Source organism: Homo sapiens, chromosome X (genome assembly GCF_000001405.40).
Source record: "Homo sapiens chromosome X, GRCh38.p14 Primary Assembly".
Taxonomy (NCBI): domain Eukaryota; kingdom Metazoa; phylum Chordata; class Mammalia; order Primates; family Hominidae; genus Homo; species Homo sapiens.
The window spans coordinates 27674116-27699662 of NC_000023.11; the positions used below are offsets into that span (position 1 = coordinate 27674116).

Consider the following 25547-nt stretch of genomic DNA (forward strand, 5'->3'; position numbering starts at 1 on the left):
TTATGTCAGACATACTTTCCACTTATTATGTTGAGTGACATTTGGCAAGTTAACTTTCTTATGCCTCAGTTTAACAGTTTAATTGTCTGTAAAACTGGAATACAGACCTGTCATTATTAAGAGATTAAAGAAAGTGTGAAAGTGTGTATGAGTGTAACTTATTACATTTCCAAAATAAATACTGATGGTATTATTTTACTTATTGTGCCCCCCTTCCTATTTCTAGTAAAAATAAAATTCATATTAGTCAATAATATTAATTATGTGGGCTTTTTCTGCTTAGACAAAATTAGAAAAAGCAAAATACTAGAAAACTAGGGCCTAAAGGTTGAATAGAAGCTGGAGAAATAGAATGCATCACCTCTGCCAAGGAGAGATAGAGAGCCCAGCAGTAGTTAGTACCTCTGAAAAACCTATAAAGATGTGCACACTGACTTTCTCATGTTCATGTTCAGAGAGCATGAAGCCGTTGTACAATAATGTCAGTCAAGAGAGAACTTTCCTATTTCCCTTACTGTTCATCTCTCCCAATGCTTTGACATTGGCAGGGGTTCAGGAATCTGAAGGTGGAGTAGAAATGTTAGGCAGGGAGAGAAAATGATGCCACCCATACTCCCTTTTTCAAATTACAGGTTTCCACTTGCAGCAGGCCGCGGTTGTAGAAAGGTCAAAGAAGATTTATCTACAAATTGAGATGAAAGGATTGAACAGTATTTTGGACCGGGTGCTCTCAATTCAGAATTGAGGCTTTATTTGTGACTTAGTGTGAACATAGGACTTTCTGCTTTTTAAGAGTAAGCTGAGAAATCAAGGGACCTGCCCTTTTTAACACCCAATGGAAAGTGAACTACACTCACTCATAGGTACTGAAGAGAATGAAATTGGAATTGCTTTTATGAATATTCCATGTGATTCTTTCTTGTTCCAAGTAATTTTTTTTATCATTTAAAGTCAAACTCTAAAAATGTGAAATTTGGAATCTTGATCTGAAAAGGAGTAATATTTTAGTAAATGTAATGGTTAGATTTAGAAGACACAGAAGAATTGAAATATCCAAAACACTCTCTAAAATTCCATTATATCACCTTTGCCTCCATAAACTGTCCCCCATCTCTTGGTTGAGGAAGATAACATGTCCCTTTTTGTCACAATGGTTGCTTGACTGGGAATCAGCATCCAAATTCAACATGACCTGGTGGGGAGAGATACTGAAGTACGGAGCAAAAATAGTTAAAAGAAGCATTCAAGCAAAGCTATTTGAGGGATTTTGCTAAAAAACATTGTAAAATTTTGGCAAATAATCATGAAAACAGATTGTGAAAATGCCGGACAAAGGAAGGTGTAATGTATTTCTAAACCAGACTGATTATTTTACATGTATTAATTTAGTAGAAGCTATGTATTCAGTGTGCTAGTTGGTTAGCCGGTTGAAATTTTAATGGTTTTCTAGTTGACTAGTGCAAACTTGAATGTCATTATGTTAAGCACTTTAAATCATATTGACATGGTATAGAAGGTAGTTAAATTCTTTAAGAATAAGAATGCTGTGTGACTCACATAGCCACTCTCACACCCAAAGAGTCTTGCTTCACCAAAGCCTTGAGAAAGACATAGGTGATGACAACACATAAAGATTTAAAGAGTGCTTTATTGGCTTTAGGCCAGGAATGCTGGTAGGATGAAATGCAATTTGACTGTCTTCCTGAGCTTCATGGGATCATAAGTTTGTAGAGCACAGTAAACCACTAGAAACAAAGTGGACATAGTTATCACAGCAGGTAGCACAGAAAGCAGAGTAATCCGCTGTCAAGGGATGCTGTGACTTGCAAAGATCTCTGGCTATGCTTAATTAATCATAAAGTACCTTAAGTTTTGGTTTAATTTGCATAACTAAATGTAGACCAAAAGAAAACAAAATTTTAGTCCTGCCTTAAGCCAACATGAAAGAGAGTCACAGTTTATCACCCCATTTCTAATCTTGAGTCAGTTCCCAAGCCCAGAGCAATCAGTCCTCAATTCCACTGAAGTCTCCCCTGTAATACCACAATTGAGTACTCTGTATCTCTTTGTAGGCGTCTCATAGTAACTTATGCTTACTCACCTGAGTTACTAGGTGCTGAGGCAGGGAAATCCAAATATTTCAGGTACAATTATAAAAGGCATTGATTAACATTAATTTTTGAAGACACATATGTCACTATAGTCTTGAATAGCAATTTAAAGTGCTGAAATTTCAAAGGAAGTTTCAACATGAATTTACATGGTCTGATATGCAAGTATATGTAAGTATTTGTGTACATATATATGTATATATGAATAAATGTATGTCTACTTATACAATATTAGAATCTTAACAATGGAACTATGTTACCTTAGGAAATTTCAAATAGGCTTTGAACCTCATGTTTTCTGCCAAAACAGTGAATAAGACATCCCTGGAGGAATAGCAGAGGTTGGAACCACCAAGAAAGAGTCCAAATAAGTAGGAGTGGTCATTGTCAGCAGTTTGGTCAGCACAGAATGTTTATGGGACTTGAAGAAGAGCAGTAGATTACCATAACCTTAATGAGGCAAGGACTCTAACTGTTGCTGCTGTTGCAGATGTGTTTTCTTAACTGGAGAAAATTATTGTAGCTCTTGGCATTCGGTATTCATGTATCGATTTCGTGCATGCATTTTTCTCTATTTCAACAAATTGAGACAACTAGAAGTAGTTTGCATCCCCCGGGGACAAGTTTGCCTAGACTGGCTCTCTTTACCAGCTCTCTCCAGACTTTTCTTTGCTAATCTTACTTTTTTGCCTAAACAAAATGCTGTCTTCTTCCTCTAGGAAAAAGAAGAGAGAGCCAACTACTCTACAAAGGAAAAGGGATGTAGTTTGTAGGATTTTCCTTGTTATGAGAGGAGCAGAAACCTAACTGTTGACAAGGGTATGTCATGGCTAATTCGAAAAACCCTGTTGAAATTGAAATTATGGTGTTCAGTTCAACGCTAAATATGCCAGATGTTGGAGATAACAAGGTGAATAAATCAATGGCTTGCTCTTCTCTGATAAAGGCGGTTGAGTTCTGGTGAGCAACACAGAGACATAAACAGATTCATTCCTTCATCCCACAAACACTGTGTGTTCTCTCTGTGCCAGGAACTATTCTACTGCTAGACATATAAAGGTTTGAAAAAGTACACATGGTTGATGCACTCCTGAGAATTATTTTCTAATAGGAAAAATATATTTTAATCAAAACCCCAAACAAATAAAATGTAGAAATGTCTCTATGATAAGCTAAGAAAAAGAGAAATGTATTGAGAGCCTGTGAGAGGAGTTTCACCTGATCTTAGAAGTAAAGGATAGCTTCCATGTGGTGATGAAGAATGGAGGATAGTTTCCCAGTTGAAGAGAATATTGTTCACTATGGCCCTGTTCCAAGTAGGAAACAATTAATTAAAAACCTAAGGAAGCTTAGTATGATGGGAGATCAGAAAATCAGGCAGGGGTTTGTGAGAAATAAAGCTTAGGAAAAGTAGGAAAAGTGGAAAAAGTGGAGGCCAGGTCATGCAGGACCTTGCAGGCCAGATTAAGAATCGTGCTCTTTATCCTAACATTATTAAACTACTGAACATTTTTAGCAGGTGGGTAACAGAATATTTATTGGACTTGAAGAACAGTAGATTATCATAACCTTAATGAGACACTGACTCTAACTGTTGCTGCTTTTGCAGATGTGTTTTCTTAATTGAAGAAAATCATATCACATGTGAACTTTCTGACCATACTGTGGAGCGGTGCTAATAAGGAGGTAAGAGTGGATGTAGATAAATCTGTTAGGAGGTTGTTAAAATAATCAGATGAACCATAATGAGATTTATTTCTAGACATATGATTATAGAGATAGAAATAAATACATTCAAAAATATTTCAGAGTTAAAACTGACAAGATGATGATATGAAAGGTGAGAAGGAGGGTTATATCAAGGGTGACTTCTTATTTTCTGGTTTGCTTCTGTGCCTGGTTGGCAGTGCCATTCTCCAAGAGAACACTAATGAAAGACTATGTTTTGGAGGAAAGACAAAACGTTTTATTTTATTTTATTTTGAAGTGTCTATGTCACATTCAAATATAAAGGGAATGTAAATATATCAAAAGTATATGATATGGAAGTTCCTCAAAAACTTAAACATAGAATTACCATATGATCCAGAAATTTCACTTCTGAGTATATACCCAAAGGAATTGAAAGCAGGGACTCAAGCATATAATTGTATACTAATGCTCACAGCAGCATTATTCACAGTAGCCAAAAGGTGGAAACAACAAAAATGTCTATCAACAGATAAATGGATAAACAAAATGTGGTATATATAGAATCGAATATTATCCATCCTTAAAAAGGAATAAGATTCTGATACTTGCTACAACATGGAAACAACATGAAAGAACCTTAAAAACATTGTGCTTTGAGAAATAAGCTAGACACTAAAGAGAAAATATTGTATTATTCCACTTATCTGAAGAAGCTACAACAGGCAAATTTGTAGAGGCAGAAAGTAGGATGGTGGTTGTCAGGGGCTGGAAGGGCGTTACTTCATGGGTATGGAGTTTCAGTTCTGGAAGATTTTTTTAAAGTGCTGGAGATGGATGTTGCTGATGGTTGCACAACAATGTAAATGTGCTTAATGCCACTGAACTATATGCTTCAAAGTGGTTAAAATGGTAAATTTTATATTATATGTATTTTTCCATAATGAAAAATGTATGTAGATCTGGAGCTCAGAGTCCTAGGCTAAAGATGTAAATGAAAGTGTCATCATTGTGTTTATGACAAGTGAAGTCATGTAAAATTGCCTAGTTTGAATGTATGTGGACGGAAATGTGTGATGAAAGGAAAAGAGAGTTTAGAACTAAAGATGATGAACTCAATAATGGCTATGCAGAGGAGGACTGGTCTTCAGAAAGGACAGGGATGGGATGGCTAGAAATGTGAGAGGAAGACAAAAAGAGAAAAGAGAATAATGTCAGATAAGTTAAAGGGAGCAAATATTTATAGGAGCCAAAGATCAATAGTGTTTCATTGCTATTTGAATCCCTCTTGGTGGAAGGATTCTATTTCTCATTTATCTTGAGGGGTCCTCCTTGGTACTGTAATGCTGTGGTAGTTCATTTTTGCTGTAAAGCAAAGCTCTCTGTAATTCCAGTTTGAGCTTTTTTTTTTCCTATTTAATTTGTCATAGGAAATTACCCATCAAGCCACAGATGTGGTTTGAAGAAGGGGAAGTAATTTGGCAGGAGTAAGGCACTCTGGATGTATGAGCTATCTGCCTGTGCAAATTACTAATGCCTTTAGAACCTGCTTGGGCTCAGTGCTGTTTTCACTTGATATTTAAGAGCTTCTGAGTATACCAGATTTTATGGCTAGGAGTAATAGATTGCATCCAGTTCATGACAAGCAGCTGGGGTCAGATATCCCCATTGTTCCCCGGGCCAAATATTCAGCCTTTGTGAGCTGATCCAGAGCTCCTTCTCAAGAAGAAAATAAACTTGGTAAAGCAGGCCTGACTTTGCTACAGAAGTCTTGGGTCCTCATCCACTATTCTTCTTTCAAGGTTTATAGTAGGCTTGATTGCACATTGCCACCTGCCTCTGACACTTCAAGCACCACAGCATATGCTGTTTTATAAGGATCAGTTGGCAAAGTTATTTGTCCTGTACCTTAGACCAGCTAGAGTGGCTTTCTTTGCTCTGAGCCCCACTAAAATGGACAGGCTTTTGCTTTATCCAGCAAATAGATCTAGCTAGAACAACATTAAATGGTACATTTCTCAAATATCTCAAGGGGTCCCCCAAGAATGTTAAGTGGGTAAGGAAATCAAGATGTGTAAATATATCCTTTATTTTGTATCAGATCAACAAGACTCCAGAAAAAAATTCCTGGGGTAGTAAAAAAACTATCTCTCTATCCATCCCTGGCACCACAGTCAAACATTTAGGGTGCCATTTACTTCTTTCTTCCTAGATCCTACTGCAAAAAGTCATCACTTTAGAGGTTCATCAGAATGACCTATAAGAATGTGAGTTTGTCAGGGTCCCTATGGACTGAATAGTAGCACAGAGCCTAAGAGTCGTCATATCTCTATGGCAGGATTGTGAAAGTTTGCTCCTGCCCTGCAAGTCCCAAGGTAATAAAACCGTTCTACAATGTAGCTGAGTTAGAAAAAAAAGACTTCATAAAGCATGTCAACCACTGTTGGCAGTCACGCAGGATCACAATAGCATTGTTAAAGTAAGCGTGAGTATGAATGTGTATGAGAAAAACCAATAAAAACACTCTGTAAATCACTTCTCTCCTTTTGCACAAAGTTAGAAGTAAAGAATAATAATTTTAAAAAATATCTTAAGTACTGAAAATTGTATTCACTGAGGCTTGGCCTTCCCTTTCTACATTTTTTTCTATACTTCACAGGTTATCTGTCCCTTTCTCTATTTTTTTTTGTTTGCCCATCCAATGCCAGTGTCCAGTTTTTCTCTGAAACTGGAAAGTATCAAAACTCAAGCCTTTACAATAGTTGAACAACTGACTAATTGACCTTCTTGCATTACCTCAGCCAAGAACTGGCACTTTAATACTTTCAATTGTTAAGTGAAAAGCTGTGTCCTATAGTTAAAGGAATTCAAGCATTGCCAAGCAAGTGGAGATACATTTGAGATCTTGATATGTTTGAAAACTCTTTGTCTATGAAAAGAAACTTGATTTAGTCAGTTTTAGGTGATTGGATAGCTGGATTCAGAAGGTTAAATCTGCATTCTTGTTCACTTAGTAGCACACTCTGGGGAGATGAAGTCATTCAGGGATAACTTTGCTGAAGCTTGGACTGAAGATAATGCTAGAGAAAAATCAAGAGGTTCTCTAGCCAACGATTACTGAACAAAGGTGGAGTACTGTTTTAGAGGTAGATATCTATAGGTTGGCTCATGCCTTTGAGCTGGGCTAATGGAGAAGCCTTTTACTCAGCAGTGAATAAAAGAAGCAATCAAGTCTTCTGTGTAAGTTTGGGCTTGACACAGCAGTTTATAGCAAAGGCAGAAATTAAATACACACACACACACACACACAAACACACACCCCACATGTTAAGTAAGCAGAGTCATTATAGACTGTACAATAAAGGTAAGTGTAGAAAGAGGGTAAAGTGGTGGCAAAAGTAGAAACAATAAGTAGAAGTAGAGACAGGGAATAGGTCTGACGTAATATTTTATCTCTAGACTGTGAGATATTAGGTCTCTTCTCTTGAATGGGTGACAAAGTAACCAGGTCATTAGAGCTGCACCGCCCTAAATGTAATTCAAGTCCTTTGGGAAGTCCACTCTAAAATGATATCTCACTAACTAAAACACACTAAAGCAACAAAAATATACAGTACATCTATTTCAATCAGGTCAATTATTTATTGTACAATATTTTGTTACATAAAATATATCAGTCAGTAGTAATACATTTTGCTTAAGAGCTCTATATTTACCTTATGTGATTGGATTAAAATTATATTGTCGTAGCTGAAGTAATATATCGATTCTATGAACAATTTGCTATTAAAATAACTTTCAGAAATAGTCAACATTTTAAGCATTTACTCTCTGAATCTTTCTGGACCCCAGATTTCTTATTATAAGTGGTCTAAACTATATGATTGCTCAGATACTACATATTTTCTAATTCAAAATTCCCAGAGCCTATTTTTATGCTACAAAAATTAATTTTATTATATTACTAACATATTGCAGAAATTCAGAGAATTATTTGTGGTCATAGAATATCAAAATAAAACGGAGTCGCGTTTCTTGGTTTTCATTTTTTTTGTTGTTGTTTTTTGAGACAAGGTCTCGCTCTGTCACCCAGTCTAGAGTGCAGTAGTGTGATCATAGCTCACTGCAGCCTTGTAGCCCTGGGCTTGAACAATCCTCCCACCTCAGCCTCCCAGGTAGCCGGGACTACTGGCATGCACCACCGTGCCAAACTAATTTATTTCGTTTTTTGTAGAGACAGGGGCTTGCTATATTGCTCAGGCTGGTCTCAAATTTCTGACATCCAGTGATCCTCCTGCCTCGTCCTCCCAAAGTGTTGTGATTACAGGCATGAACTACTGTGCCCAGCTGGTTTTAATTTTACAATGAGACTCTCCAGACATTTAAAATAGTTTTTTTAAGGTCAAATTGATGATATATTTAGTAAATGAATTTTAAGAATGGTCTCTGAATGTAGGAATTTCTTATGAAATTAGGGAAGGACAACACAAATATTGTAAAGGATATATGAGAAAGCAAAATACAATAATTTGTTTTAAAGAGTATCCAATAATGACAGATTATTCCCTTTTACTTTAGAGTAATTTATTTTATCTGGTTTAGACCTTCTTGATAAAACTCTTCTATTTAATGAGTAAACACCTTACATTTGTCAATAAAATTCATTTATATAATGGAATTATATTGTTTATAGTTGTAGATTAATAGAGATTAAATTTCCATATGACAAAAGATTATGGGTCATTGTGATTCAAGTCAATGCAAGTTCACGATGTTGGCAAAATGAGTATTTTTATATGTTGTTTAAGCTGCCAAGAGTCTTCCTAGAGTCCTTTATTTAAAGGAAGAAGACTGTATTTCTCAAGAAAAAAAAAATCCTGTAAAGTTTTATGTGCTTTATATTGACTCTTTGTCTTTCTGACATATTTAATAGTTCCTGTTAGAGCCACAAGATATTGAATAGGAGGTTCTGAGTTGGGTCACTGCTCCATTTGAATAATCCTTTAAAACTTTAGTCCTCACAAACAAGCAGTAGCTGGCAACTATTACAATGATACCCAGCCACACTTCACATAAACATGTAACAGTTTGTCCAGAGATCATTATAAACACATACTAGGCTTCTTTGAAACTAATATCTTCAAAAAGGACTAATTAGTAGCTGAACATTGAGTACTTCTATAAAGTTTTGTCCTCCTAGCTTTGAGCATTCCTAATCTAAATTTCAATTTCATACTGGCAAATCTTTCTTTTTATGACATGAAACAAAAGGAAAAATAATTGGCTTTATCTGTGCTAATTTGCCGGTGGTCACTGTTGAGAGCTTCAAATGCCCTTCCCACTGTCAATCTCTGCTCTTCACCATTCTGCTCCATATTATTCATTCAAGTGGCATGAAGAGGGGTATGGTGGCTGTGGGATTCGAACCATCATTTAACAAGATATGGGAAGTGAATAGTATTTGCTCACCATAACTTTAGTTTTAGTTTCGCCTTCCAAATTAGGCTTCTATACACTTCTTAAAGCTTTATTTAAGTTGTTCTTTCATCAGCATACACAGTAGTAACGAAGCCCTTTCTGATAGTCGCTGTATTAGCTACCTTGTGGCTGTTAATGTTCATGCTCCTGCAAGATCCTTTCAAATCCCTTTTTGTACCATTTACTTCCCTTTCCCTTCCAAGCATCAGTACTAATGCACAGCTCTTTAGTCCTCAAGCTGCTGAAGGGGCTTTTGCCCACAGGTGAAGAGATTTTAAAGCATCTGGGACATCTGGGAGTTGATATGCTCATCCCTCCCAGGGTGGCCTTTAATCAAGGGCTGAACAGTGTAGGAGTATGAAAGTTCACTCCCTTGCCTGGTGTAAGGATAACTCAGACGTAACTTACTCTCCAGAGTTCCCCAGGAGGATCGTGCTGAAGCTATCCTCTGAGGGGTGTTCACCTGAGATTGCACTGTTCCTTGGCTTCCACTACCTCCCCTTGGATCATTTTCTTAAATTAATCAAACATACATCCTCATCTCAGAGCCTATGTCTAACTTAGGATACACCTATAGTGGAGACCTCACTGTCATGTCAAAATACCGCCGCCTAGTGGCAAGACTAAGAATATCAGAGTTCTTTGCATTAACTGCATGACCTTTCATTGAATACCTTTTTTCATTGAATACCTTTTTTCATTGAATACTTTGCACTGAATACCAAGTGAAGTAGTGAGAGGTATCCAAAGAAGACAGTGCCATTATCTCTACCCTCAAAGAGCTAACGATGTCTGGAACCAAAGGAGAAGAAGTGACAGCAAACATGACCACAGGTAGGATTTGCACAGCTGTCATTAGGAAACAAAGGGGAAGCAGTATGGGAAGGAGGGCCATTTTCTGAGCATCAGAGTCACAGGATCTCATCATCTGAGATACATTAGACACTTATAGGTCCTATCCCAGCATCTATTTTCATCAAAAAAGACTAAAGCAGAATTTTACATGTATTAAAACTCAATAAATTGTTGCAGGCTTAAATTGCAGAAACTGGCTTATGCCCAGCAAAAGTAGGCTTCGTAGTGGCACAAATAGGTAAAATATACAGGTGGATGATAAAAAAGAGGTTGAGACTAGTCCAGAGACTGATAGCATATACAACTTCCCTAATGAATATCAGAACCATAAATATGCTATATTTAGGGCATTCAGAATGTGTGGTGAATCCTATTACAGTAGATGGAACCATGTATCATGAATGTATGTCAAAAGTGGCTAAAAGTCAATTTCATATGACTCCGCTTAATATAATGTTCTACATGGTAGGACATCTTTGATGTGAACTAAATATATACAATTGTATAGGCCATCAAGTCCAAGCTATCCATCTACATAGATATGAGCTCTTACATATGATCCTGCAGACTTGTTTTTAGCATTTTAGTGACCCAATGCTCACTCACTCATGATATTACTGATCTTTTGTAGGCCAGCTCAGTTACAAACATTGTGACTTTCCTCCATTAATCTCTTATATCTATCTTTACATTTTTCCTTCTTAGAATGTCAACTCATGTTTACTTTCACATTCTGTTTATGATGAGACCCTTTTGGTCAATATTCCTGGGAATCACTGTAACCAATCAGTTTAAGAACAGGATGTGATATCCTCTCATCAGCATTGTGCACTAAACTTAGACTCCATGGTATATCCCCTCCAATTTAGAGTATTATAAAGAAACTTCTTGCTTTGACATTGATACCTCATGAATAAATCAAGACGAGTTTTTGTTTTCCAATTCTATCTGAAAGAAATATGTAAAAAATAATCGAGGTGGGAAAAATTTAAGTGACAAAGAAGTTTGATATTGCCTCTATCATTCTTAAGAAAGGAGAACACTATGGGCAGGCCCTTACAGAATATCTGTCAGTAGTTTAATAATAATTTGGGGTAAAGAAATAATTTGTGGGTGACAAGACTTTCTACCATAAGACAATTTCATTCAATTACTGTATCAATAACTGCATAAATTCATGCATTTACAACCAACTTATTTTTGATAAAGATACCAAGAGCATACATTGGGGAAAGATAGCCTCTTTCATAGATGGTTCTGGGAAAACTAGATATTCGTAGTCAGAGGAATAAAACTAGATCCCTATCGCTCACTACACACCAAAAATAAACTCTAAATGGTTTAAAAACTTAAATGTAAGACCTGAAACTTTGAAAGTATTAGAAGAAAACATTGGTGCAACACTTCAGGACATTAGTCTGGGCAAATATATTTTTGTGTAAGACCTCAAAAGCATAGGCAACAAAAGCAAACATAGACAAATCAGATTACAGCAAGCTAAAAACCTTCTGCAGAGCAAAGGAAACAATCAGCAGAGTGAAAAGACAACCTACAGGATGGGAGAAAATATTTTCAAACTATCCATCTGACAATGGATTAATACCAAGAATATATAAGGAACTCAAATAACTCAATAGCAAAAAATATCAAATAATAGGATTTCAAAATGGGCAGAAGATCTGAATAGACAGTTTTCAAAAGAAGACATATAAATGTCCAACAAACATATAAAAATGCTCAACACTAGTAATCATCGGGGAAATGCAAATCAAAACCACAATGAGATATAATCTCACCTCAGTTAGAATGGCTAGTATCAAAAAGACAAAAACAAAATAGATGCTGGTGAGGATGCAGACAAAGGGAAACTTTAGTACACTGCGGGTGGGAGCGCAGTGTAGTAAAGCCATCATGAAAAACAGCATGGTGGTTCCTCAAAAAATTAAAATAGATGTATCATATGATCCAGAAATTCCACTACTAGTTATATATCCAAAAGAAAGGAAATCAGTACATCAAAGAGATATTTGCATACCCATGTTTATTGCAGCACTATTCACAATAGACAAGATATGAAATCAACCTGTGTCCATAAATAGATGAATGGATGAAGAAAATGTGATATATATAGACAACAGAATCCTATTTGACTATAAAAAAAATAAAATCCTTTCATTTGCAGCAACATGGAACTGGGGGTCATTATATTAAGTAAAATAATCCAGGCAAAAAAGACAAATATTGCACATTCTCACTCATATGTAGGAGCTAAAAAAAAAGGTGTATCTCATGAAGATAGAGAATAGAATGGTGGTTACCAGAGGCTGGGAAGGGGTAGGGGATGAAGATAGGTTAGTTAATGGCCATAAATGTACACTTAAATAAAAGGAATATATTCTAGTGTTCAAAAGCAGAGTAGGGGTCCTATAGTTAATGACAATGTATTGTATTTTTCCACATATCTAGAAGAAAAGTCTTCAAATGTTCCCAACAGATAGAAATGATAAATGCTCTGAGTCAGTGGTCCCCAACGTTTTTGGCACCAGAGAACGGTTTTGTAGAAGACAATTTTTCTACGGACTGGGTAGAGGGGTGGTTTCAAGATGAAACTCTTCCATCTCTGATCATCAAGCATTAAATTCTCATAAGGAGCACACAACCTACATCCTTTGCGTGTGCAGTTCACAATAGGGTTCACGCTTCTATGAGAATCTAATGCTGCCACTGATCTGACAGAAGGCGGAGCTCAGGCAGTAATGCTCCCTGGCCACTCACCTCCTGCTGTGTGGCCTGGTTCCTAACAGGCCACAGACAGGTACCAGTACATGACCCAGAGATTGAGGACTCCTGTTGTAGGTGATGGACACCCCCAAATACCCTGACTTGATCATTACACAGTCTATGCATATAACAAAATATCTTGTGTAGCCTATACATATGTATCAATTATTATGTGTCCACGAAAATAAAATAAAATCTTTGCACAGAGGGAAAATGACTGTATAAATGAAGTAAAATATATTTATCAAAGTTCTGGATCACATTGTTATTTTTAGAATAAAATGTACTTAAGCAATTAGGGGGGAAAACCTGTTCAGTGAATAAAGTTGAATGAGGAAAAATACAAACAGATATTCAAAACTTCAAAATAAGGTAGCAAGAGAAACTAATATCAACAACTAGTTGCAAGTACTGAAATTCTTTTTAAATAGCAAAAGGCAACTAAGAGTCATCCTTAAACTATATCAGCACTATAATAATAAAATCCACACGAATCTGGGAAGTGTTAAAAATACAACAATACTAAGGCATTAAGAAATCAGGGCTGGGCACAGTGGCTCACGCCTGTAAACTCGACACTTTGGGAGGCTAAGGTGGGAGGATCACTTGAAGCCAGGAGTTCAAGACCAGCCTGGGAAACATAGGAAGATCCCGTCTACAAAAAAAGTTTAAAAAATAGTTGGTCCTGGTCGTGCATGTGTGTAGTCACAGCTACTTGGGAGGCTGAGGCAGGAGGATTGCTTGAACCCAGGAGGTGCTACACTCTAGCCTGGGTGACAGACTGAGACCCTGTCTCTGAAAAGAATAAGAGATCCTTCTGTCTTTATAAAGGTATCTGTCTTTAGTTCTCTAGCTGAAACTGTTATTAGAGTTTTAGATTTAATTTGAGTCTATATTTTAATTAAAAATATGAAGAAATTTAATTGTATGCCAAAGAATTTTTTTAAATACTGAAAGGGAGAAATCTGGTTGTATTAAATGGCTAAATAAAGTTTTTGCCTCTTCAAAAAATAGAATAAAAAGAGTGAATTAATTATTGTTTTTGAGTGGAAAACTGTTCTGTATGTAGAGTATCAGATAAAAAGAAATGGGCTTAGATAAAATAGAGAAAGATTTCAGTCACATGAAAAACTGGTTAATTATCTAATTGATAAAAAATAGAATGGGCTCATGATGATGAAGTTTAGCATCTTTTTTTTACAGCAATCACATTTATAAATATTAGAATTGCAAAGGAACATATATGACCATCCAATCTCTCCTCTTCATTTTTGAGACCACAAAATATGAACACAGAAATTAAATTGCTTAATTCACCTAAGCAAGTCAAGGGAAATGTAGGACTTGAGCTCACAGTTCTTAACTTGAAGGCTAGGTCTGTGGCCTTGGATAAGCTATTTAAAGCTTTTGTGCATTGCTTTGTTTTATTTTGTATTCATACAATGGAAATAATAATGTACAACCCAAAAGGACAACTATGAGTATCAAATAAATATTTGCAAAACATTTAATATGATGACCATCTATGATAATTATTCAAAAAATAGTAGCTTTTTTGTTGTATTATTATTATTGCCTAGTGCTTTTTCTTCTAAAATATGTTGTCTAACAATAACAAAAAAAGGATATTCTATAACTATCTCTTGTGAGCCATATTTATTGTAAAAGTCCAGTTAGAAAACTTTAAAATGTTCAAAGTATATTTTCCCCATAAGAGAAAATGTACAGTCTCTAATGATGACAATGAGAAAATTGTGACTAAATTATTAATATCTAAGTATATTTGATAAGTAACTACATGGAGGTCTTTTTTGTTTGTTTGTTTTCATTTGCTATTTTTTTAATCCAAAAATAAGTTCCTCTTTTTGAAATCACACTCAAGGTAGGTTTTATTATCACCCCACTTTCTAGATAAGAAACTCAAATCTCCAAAAGATGAAATATCTTGTTAATGTTTTCCCTAATGTGTTCAGTTTATTCCTGGCATCAGAGGCCCCAGACTGATGATTCAAAAGTATATGGGAAAAGTGTTTTGCTATGATTCTAAATCATTCCCCCTTTTATCAGTACAATTTGGCCATATCTGCAAAATTTGAAAGCACATGTACCTTGATTTATCAATTTTCCTTTAGGGTTTTATTGAATGAATGTACACAAAATACATATATAACAAATGTACTCACATATACACCACAAGATTGATTGACTGATTGATTGATTGATTGATTTTTTGCGATGGAGTCTCGCTCAGTCACTCAGGCTGGAGTGCAGTGGCATGATCTTGGCTCACTGCCAACCTCCGCCTCCCAGGTTCAAGTGATTCTCCTGCCACAGCCTCCCAAGTAGCTGGGACTACAGGTGCACACCACCACACCCAGCTAATTTTTTGTATTTTTAGTAGAGACGGGTTTCATCATGTTGGTCAGGCTGGTCTCGAACTCCTGACCTCAGGTGATCCACCCGCCTCAGCCTCCCAATGTGCTGGGATTACAGGCGTGAGCCACCGCACCCAGCCCACCATAAGATATACGTACAAGAATACATTGCCACATTATAGCCTTTATAACTAGCAATTGAAAGATGGTTGTATAAATTACTGTTACTTGTCCAATGGAATGCCATGTAGCCATTAGGAAGAATAGGATACAGGCTGACAGCAGACAATATAAATGATTCATTCATTCATACATTCAGCAAATATATGAGTTCATACTACTTTCCAAGCATTATTGATGCAGCCATGAACAAGACAATGTTCCTGTCTTTATGGATTTCAAAATGTAGTGAGAGAAGCAGACATTAACCAGAAAAACAAACACATAATGAATGTCATATAATGCAACGTAGTGATTAAGTGCCATAAAGAAAAATAAGAAAATAGGAACAAAAGTATATATTGCTCAGTAAAAATAAAGAAATAGAATTAGGCTATTATAGTCCTATTCATGTTAAAAGTAAAGAAAACATATATATTCCATATAATTATATATGCATATATTCAAGAGACTTTTTTGGAGGATACATAAGACACTGTTTGTCAGTAGGGGATACTTCTGAAGAGAGACGGAGGGACTAAATCATGACAGAAAATAATGTTAAGATATTAATATTGTTAAATTATGACTTTCTGTGGTGTAAATTTTGTACATTTTTACTTTTTTACCACATACATTATTTTTTAAATAATAAAAGAAGATAAACTAGAGGAGGTCAAGAGCTTGGATGCATGCAATTAATGAGCAATAGTATAGTCTTTGCTAGTTTGAATATTTATTTGGGTTGCAACTTCAAATGCCATCCTTAGTCATTTCAATAACAAAAATGTGTAAATTAGGCTGGCTAAAAAAAGTACGGGGAATTAAAGAGCATGTGATGATCTACAGAATGCATGTCTTGACTGTGGCTCTTAATTTTTTCTCAGACAAATACATTTCAAAGTGTAGAAAGAGATACAATTTTTCATTTCTCTGGCCTTATCTTACCAGAGTTCGGCACTCTTGCCCACCAAGGTCTGACCACCAGATCTTTTTAAGGTGATCTTGCTGACATATGAATTACATCAAATTGCTCACCACTAAAAGGAGAAAAAAAAAACAGCCTTTTACTATAAGCACAATAAAATGCCAGATCGTTATAATGGCTTACAAATCCTCTAATCTGGCCTTTACCTCCTCTCTTTTCTCATTGTTTCTACCGTGCCCTTCACTGGCTATGGCATACCAAACTGAGTTTTGCTCTTTTTCTCTTTTGTACCTACACATTTAGTAGTCACTCTGGTATAAACTATTTACAACTCAATTGAATCGACACAAAAAGTCATTTTTTAGAACAACTAATATCCCTAAATTAGAAATAATTTGAAGCTTCTCTTGACTGAGATGAGAACTACAAATTGAGAGCATAAAGGCTCATGTCTATTAATATTCCCATGTGTCATCAAATACCACTGAAATAAGCATTTTTTAAAATGAGGGATGAAAACACATTTCCCTGTGCCAAGCAATTTTTCTGTATTTCTCTGCACATTTACCTGAAACTTCTTTAGATATATGCACATTTATCGTTCTATCAGAATGACATTTAATATATTGAGGAAAAAAGCTAACAAAATATCAAACATTTAAGATCTAAATCAAATTGCAGCAATTCATTAACATGTGAATCTAACAAGGTTATAATTCTTCATAAAATAGCTGATTTTATACTATAAATTATTTTTTATGTTAAATAGATGTGGGTTTTTTGTCTCACTTATTTCTGAAAAGTTGTTTTAAGAGAAATATAGATGAGAGATAATGCTGTTTCCTAAACACTTATATGGCAAATTTAAATCCATGTCAAGATGATAAAAAATAGACATAATTGCAATTCATTAAGAAATAAAACACAGTTTTAAAATTCCACCTAAATCATTTTATATGTGCCACTGCTAGACTATTGGTTATTTGATGGAAAGATGTGGTTGTATGTAAGAGAGGTACCAAAAAATTAATGATGATAGCTAATTTTCATTGAAACATCTATTTCTGTTTCTCTGTCCTATTTTCCTTAAAAGTGTGGATGTTATTATGAAGATATTGAGTGATGGAATATCCAAAGATTTGCATGTAATGAAAATAATCAGAATTAGCTTATGATATATGTACTATTATTTCTATTTTATAAACAAGGGATGCCTCAGAATGCTGTGTCCATAATTGGCCAAAAATTGCATACCAGCAAGTGGCAGAGATTGAATTCACACTAAGATTGTCAAAATTTAAAACCCATTTTATTATGTGGACAGCCTGAAGGAGGATAGGTGGTGCTTAGTGAGAAAGAGTGAATGGAATTCTCTTCACATTTGAAGCCTAGGAGATTAAAAATGTGAAGATGTCATTAGTAGAAATAAGGACAAGGATTTAGATTCGAGTTTTGAAAAATGCTAGTTCCATTTTGAAGAGGTTGATCATAACGTGCTTCTGTTGAACATACAGTCAATATATTTGATGTGGTTGAATATATTTTTAAGCAGCTAGGAACATAAGAGTAGTGATGTAGAATATTATTCTGGGTGGAAAGAGGTATAGTTTATTTCAAAAAGTGACTGGCATCTTCCAAATATCTTCCAGATAACATAGCTCTCCTTTTCACTTTATGTGTATGAACCTACCTACGTTTACTACAAAATTGCTTGTCATTGAAGATGTTACATTCAGATTTCTGGCTTCTTGGAGATATGTACTTACAGTTAAATATTAACTTAATGTGAATGTCAAGGGAAAAATAATAGCCTGACATGGACTTTTCATAGTATCATGAGACAGACAGGATTTACTCACTTACAGACATGCAGGATATGATAAGATTGGCAGTTGAAATGAATTTTTGGTGTCCCAATGGGTTTTGTAAAAGAATTTAATGTATTAAGTGCCTAAACAATGTGTTTTCTCTAATCTTCACAATTTATTCTTTATTTTCATTCAAATCTATTCATAAATATTATCTAGAGAAGACTTTTAAACAAAAGAGCATGGATGGGTTTAAAAGGTCCTTATCACCAAGATGTAATAAGCACAATGTTGCTTCTCTGTGAAATTTTTCTGAAAGAGTTAGTTTGATTCTCAAAGGTTTCATGACTCTAAGCAGTGAAGAATCAGAGACTTAGAGAAAGTTGTTTATCTACTTTGGTGAGATATTTTATATCCTTAACCTAGTAGTTTTCAACTGTGGTGACTATGTCACCCAGGGGACAACTGGAAAGTTTCTGGAGACACTCTTGATTATCATAATATAGGGAGAAGGAGTTCTACTACCATTTAGTGGGTAGAGGCCAGGAAGTCTGCTAAACATCCTACAGTGCACTGGATAGTCCCCCATCAGCAGAGCTATATGGCCCCAAATGTTAATAGTGCTGAAACTGAGAAAGCTTGCCTGAATCCCTGCAGAGTTCTAGGATAATATAAAAGAAAGAGACTTCGATATTTTGTTATGCAATATATGTGCCAGTGTATAAAACAATTATTTTAACCACATTACTGATTAATTCGCGTGTGAATTATATTATGAGCCAAGAAAAGCCTGTATCATTTTAGTAGAATATTCTAACAGTAAGTGACTCTATCTCTTAAAAATACTGAGCACACATGGATATTTGAAAGGATATTTTTGAAGCTGCTTAAAATTAATGGACATTAAACTCCCTCATGCTTTGTTTCATCAATAAAACTGTGGAGCTCATTAACAAAAACCAGAAACTTAGCTCTCTGAATCAGGAAATTTATAAAGTGTAGCCACTAGTGCATATCTATGAGTTTCTGAGTTAACTAAAAATTAAATATTATTGAAAAAAAGAAAAGCAAGCTCTTCATAAATTATTAATTTATACTTTTACTAGTCTTCATATTAGAATGATTCAGGTTTTCTCACCTGATATATAACTTCTATCCCCTCCTATTTTACCTTAGTTAAATGGTTTAATTTTAAAATAAGCATTTTCCTTCATTTATTATGTTCCTGTCCATATAGAAACCTGTTCTATAATTTTATCATATTTTTAATAATTTCCTTTTTCAGATGTGTTTATGCCCTTTGCTCATTTTTTAATGGGGTCATTAATAATCTGAGAAGTGCAAATCAAAACCACAATGACATATTATCTCACATCTGTCAGAATAGCTATTATTAAAAAGTTAAAAAATAACAGATACTGGCAAGACTGTAGAGAAAAAGGAACGTTTATACACTGATGATGAGAATGTAAATTAGTTCAACCACTGTGGAAAGCAGTTTGGATATTTCTCAAATAACTCAAAACATAACTACCATTCAACCCAGAAATCCCATTACTGGGTATATAGCCAAAGGAGGATAAATCAAACTACCAAAAATACATACACTCATATGTTCATCACAGCACTATTCACAATAGCAAAGACATGGAATCAACCTAGATGCCCATCAATGGTGGATTGGATAAAGAAAATGTGGTACATATACACCATGGAATACTATGTAGCCACAAAAAAGAATGAAATCATGTCCTTAGCAGCAAAATGGGTGCAGCTGGAGGCCATTATCCCAAACTAATTAATGTAGGAACAGAAAACCAAATACTGCATGTTCTCAACTATAAGTGGAAGCTAAACACTGAGCACACGTGGACATAAAGATGGGAGCAATAGACACTGGAGACCACTAGATGGGGGAAGGCAGGGAGGAGGAAAGGGCTGAAAAACCACTTACTGCTCACTACCTGGGTGATAGTATCATCCATACCTCAAACCTCAGCATCACGCAATATTCACTTGTAACAAACCTGCACATGTACTCTTTGAATCTAACATAAAAATGGAAATTATTTTTTAAAATAATAATTTCCTCTATTTTTATCTTTATCTCCATTTAACCATGCTTATATTTATTTGAAAACTTTAAAAATATTAACATTTCTATCAAACTGATCTTGTTGGTAGGTAATTAAATCTTAGATGAGCAATGTTTCTTATCAAGTATGCAGTTCAGTATTGATGCATATGTGAAAGATGATGTTACTGTTGCTTCTTTAAAACATATCAAGTAATAACTACTGCCAAGTTAACATTGAAAGTTCAATTATTTGAAAAGATTCTTTTTGTCTACCTAATTAAAGACTTAAGATCATATTTTTCTTTTTTGTGCATTGGTAATTCTATTAATAAGGGAAAACAAACTTGAATTTTAAAATAATATTCATAGAAAACTTTCAGGTATCCAAGGATATGAATTAGATTGGAGATAGTCATATACATTATTCTTGTCACACATCTATGAGGTTTTAAGCATTGCATGCCAGTCTTGTCTCTCATTATAATGACAACAGAAACATGACTGCACTTGAAACGTAAACATGCCTTGTATAATAACACTCCAACTACACTGTAGGATATTTTTATTCAAGAAGGACCACCTCATAGAGTTGAATTCTGTTTACATAATGGGTTTTAAATTGCTCTTTTCTTTCTTCTTTTCTACCTCAACCACATCAGTTTGTGCAGCACACAGAGCAGACAGAACAGTTTGGAGATTTGGTTTTCAGATCTGGCCCTCTGTGTGAGCTTGCACCCTCCTAAAACTTAATTAACCTCATGGTCCTTCACAGTAATAGGCCTCAGTTTCCACTTATGAAAATTACTGGATGTTTACTTCATAAAGTATAAGATTCTTCCTTGCTATACCATTCTGTGTTCTGTTAAGAGAAGGCTAAGGGTGACCTTTTATGAAGGTTACTATTATTTTTGCAGGTTGCATTTATGGTAATATATAAGAATTTATGCAGAGCAACTTTACTTGCCAATAGAAAACAAAAGTATATGAACAAGTTTAAAATTAAACCAGGAACAAAATAAGTTCTTATTCACTATTGGAATGGGCTGCAGAATGGTATTTTGGAGTTATCAAAATGGATAAGAGCTTGGAATCTGAAATCAGGCAGATTTGAAATGGAATCAGTCCTCTGTCACTCATTACATGGGTATCTTTGACAAGCCCTTTACCTTTTTGATTCTCAATGTCCTCATCTAAAATATGTGTATAACAATACCTACTTCTCAAAATAAAACGTTTACAGGCTAGCATAGTGCCTGGCATAAAATAGTATCATAGTGAATAACCATTATAAATATAATAACCTTCTCTATAATTAAATTAACCAACACGTGTGTCCTGATTAATATAGGTATTTTAATGCCTATAGATATGAATTTATAATAGAATCTCTCCAGTTTATCTTCAGCAGTGTACTAGGAACTATTTTTCAAATTTCAAATATTACATTTTAACATTTACATTTGAATTCACATGTAAATGTAAATTTTTATACTTCAATATAAGTAGGTTAATATTACTATCAAAAATTTAAATGGGGCTAGGCGTGGTGGCTCACATCTGTAATCCCAGCACTTTTGGGAGGCCAAGGCAGACAGATCACTTGAAATCAGGAGTTTGAGACCAGCCTGGCCAACATAGCGAAACCCCATCTGCACTTAAAGAAAATACAAAAATTAGCCAGGTGTGGTGGCACGCACCTGTAATACCAGCTATTCGGGAGGCTGAGGCAGGATAATCGCTTGAACCTGGGAGGCAGAGGTTGCACTGAGCTGAGATCATGCCACTGCACTGCAGCCTGAGGGACAGAGTTAGACTCCGTCAGAAGAAAAAAAAAAGAAGAAAAAGAAAGAAAGAATGAAAGAAAGAAAGAAGGAAGGAAGGAAGAGAGAGAGAGAAAGAAAGAAAGAAAGAAAGAAAGAAAGAAAGAAAGAAAGAAAGAAAGAAAGAAAGAAAGAAAAAGAAAGAAAGAGAAAGAAAATTGAAATGGAAGGCATTGGATGGCATGCTAGAAAGAATACAGCCAAGCCTGACTCTAACTGTGGTTTCTTGAACAATATGATACACCTGTTCAGCTATGTTTTTAATAAAATGAAATAAATGAGCATTTAGATTTGATACCTGCACAATTCACTTTGTTTTAATTCCATAATTTTATGATACCTAGTCCTCATATTTGCTATTTAATAAATACTCATAGTTTTCCAAAGTCTGTATACAGATACTCCTTTAGCAGGAGGAATAATTTAAGGCATATAAACGTGAAGAAGTTGTGAGTAAATGGCCCTCAAGATTTGCTTTACTTTTCCTCCAAAATATTAGTTTTTCAAGCAAAAGGTCTTCAAATGATTGACAAGCCTCTTCCTGTCAAGTGCAATAGCAAATCCTTCTGAAAGACTGTCAGTGGGTTTGATTCTTGAATCTCTCTTTAAATAGACTCCATAGGGCAGCCTAGACAAAAAACACAATGGCAGTGAAGACACTTAGAGGGAAGTTGGAAAACCGTGTGTCCTTTAAAGCAGCAGATTTTTTTTATTGTAGAATAATATCCCCAAAAGGTTATTTATACAACTAAATTGGGAAGATCAATCTGGCATTATCATTTTATCAGGTCAGAAGGGGCTGAAGAGGGCACTACTGCATGTGCCATGAAGAGTTTTAACATATTTTCTTTTAAATGTATACAATATTCTTTTAACCTGACCTAACCCCTGGTACTTGGGTAAAAGCAGAAGGGTACTTCTTTTCAGGCAAAAATTTTCCGCAAAGTAAACAGAGGTCATAGATTTTCACCAGTATGATTGACAGGGAAAGGCTTAGAAAGAACTTTATAGAGGTGATAAAAATGTGCTACAGTTAAGTTATTAAATCTTAAAGCAAATCTACTTATGTCAATTCAATATTTCTATTTTATAGTATTTTTCAATATTCATATAATCCTCTCACTCAAACCAGATGCCTGGATATGTATAGCCTTTACATAAAGTTGTTTATGTTTCCTAATAGCTTTGGGGATTGGGGAAATGAGAATGATGTCCAATAATGTGTGATAAAATTAGAAACACACATATTCTGTACACCTTCAGTAAGTGTTCTTTGTGTTCCGTTAAATTTATATATTAAAATGTGCAGAGTTGGAGGATTGTAACATTTTTCAGGAACTCTACAAAGCAATTCAACAGAAACCCAACAAAATAGATAAATTTTACCTAGTTTGTCAATTATTCTACTCTTTTTATTTTTTTACTAACACAATTAAATATTAGCTATTTCCCTTAATGTTTAATGTCTAAAAAAGAGACTCTTCAAATTTTGAAAATAGACTGTCTCTAGGTAAGCTAGCTACTTTGTAGACTAGAATGAATCATTGTCTAATTAGTCAGTCAATGAATAACTCTTTATAATCAGGCTATCTACTAGGCAATGAGGGAGAATATTGTTTTTAATACAATTAAGGAAACAAAGTAAATGAAGGAAAGGGAAGAAGAAAGAGAGAAAGAAAAAGAATGAAAGAACAATGATATTCGCATAAATATATAAGAATCATACAATTGTCATAAGTATACGTGTATATAAGAACTCTTGGCATTCAGGAGCAAAAGAGCTAAAAAACCTTATAGTTGAATTTTTATGAATTTAAAATTTTTTTTATTAACTATTTGATTTTATCCTTACAGTTTCCTTGTCATTTATGCAGGATACATTTTTCCCAGTGTGTATGGTGGGAAAAAAGGAATTCTATTCATAATGATTTAAATTCAAGAAAATGTTTATATGATGCTTATCTTGATTTTTTTCCTTATTTGATAAACTTTCTTTAATATTGAGGCATGAAATGCAAAGAAAAGTTTTGTTTTATTTATATATGTTATTAATTTGGAAGGCACTATTGTTTGTTGATGCAACAACTGTTGCATCCCTTTTCTGTCTTGATTTGTCTCCCAGCATAGAGGCCAAAAATATCAGATAGTCACTTCCTGAGCCTACTGGGCCAAGTTACCAATGTCTCTTGCCTTTGGCATATGGGGGTTTGGCTACCAGAGAACTTGTAGGACTGAATCTCCTCCATACAAATGGAGAGGACACATGAGAGGATCTTCATTTTTTAACAACTGCTTTCTTTCCAGTTTGAGACATTTCAGTGTGAAGATGTTATATTTGCTACAGTCATGTTGCTACCATTTCACCAAGAGATTTACAGAGATAATGACTTGGGCCCTTGAGCCTTGGACTAATCATAGACTATCTACTTTAAACTTTTTCTTAAAAAATATGTTTGTAGTAGTTAAGCCACTATTATTTGCATATTTGGTCACTTGCTGTTGAATGAATCTTAACTGTACACCGTCTGACTTTTAAAAAAAATGACTTCTTTCTGCTTTATGTCTAGGAAAACTCAAACTCTCAAATGTATGAAACAATTGAATTGATGCAGAGAAAGCTGGAACTAACACTTTCTGAGAACCTGCTACTACTGTGGGGCAGACACTGTGCAAAATATTCTACATTTATTCTTTTGACTATTTTAAATGTCCCTTTTCTAATTAAAACCTTTTTCTCAGCACAGTATCTATCAAAAGGGTTTTCATTGTCCAAATATTTGTTGAGGAGTTATGGAATCTCAGGCTCTGGTCTGGGGACTAGGCCAAAAGTACCAAACAAAAAAGCCATGGTGATTATATTATAACAAAAATTGGCAGAAAACTAATAAATAAATAGCTAATAAGCAAAGCAAGAAATGTTTTGAAAAAAATGTGATTCAGTGTAAAGATAGTGCTGGGGGTGGAAAAAGATGTTATACTCCATAGTGTCTTTATAAAAGCCTCCCATGTTAAGGGGATAATTTAGAAAAGAATTCATGGATGTGAGGGACCACGTGGATATTTGCAGAAAAGTAATGTTCCAGGAAGACAGCACAAAAAGGGCAAATGCCTTAGACAGAAATGTTGTTGTCTCATTCGAAGTATAACAGTGATATTAAAGTGGGCATAATACAGTCAGCAAGGGAGGGAAAAGTAAGAGATGACTCAGGAGAGAGGAAAGGCCTTATAGGCATTTTTAAGGAATATGACTATCACTCTAAGAAAAATAAATCTCTGTAAAGTTTTGAGCACTGACAGAATGATATGACTTGGTTTCCATGGCAAAAAGTGGGTCTATAGAGGAGCAAATGTGGATAGAGAACAACTGATTGTGAGGTTATTGCAATTACCCAGGCCAGAGACGATGATGTCTCAAGCGAAGTGGTAGCATCAAAGTAGTGAGTTTCTGAAGTGTTAAGGTAATCCA

At 35.0% G+C, this 25547-nt stretch overlaps 1 protein-coding gene across 8 annotated transcripts in view; it reads left to right on the forward strand.

Annotated features, from left to right (window-relative positions):
* Nucleotides 1-25547, forward strand: part of DCAF8L2 (DDB1 and CUL4 associated factor 8 like 2) — a 281002-nt gene that overhangs the window by 205175 nt on the left and 50280 nt on the right. For 5 of the 8 annotated variants that reach the window (XM_024452372.2, XM_024452371.2, XM_024452374.2 and 2 more), the window contains 2 exons: nucleotides 2831-2930; nucleotides 3721-3797. The gene's annotated coding sequence lies outside the window, so the exon portion shown is untranslated. Of the gene's footprint in view, nucleotides 1-2830; nucleotides 2931-3720; nucleotides 3798-6012; nucleotides 6176-25547 lie in introns of all 8 variants that reach the window. The other 3 variants (NM_001353449.2, NM_001353450.2, XM_024452373.2) reach the window with 2 other exon arrangements.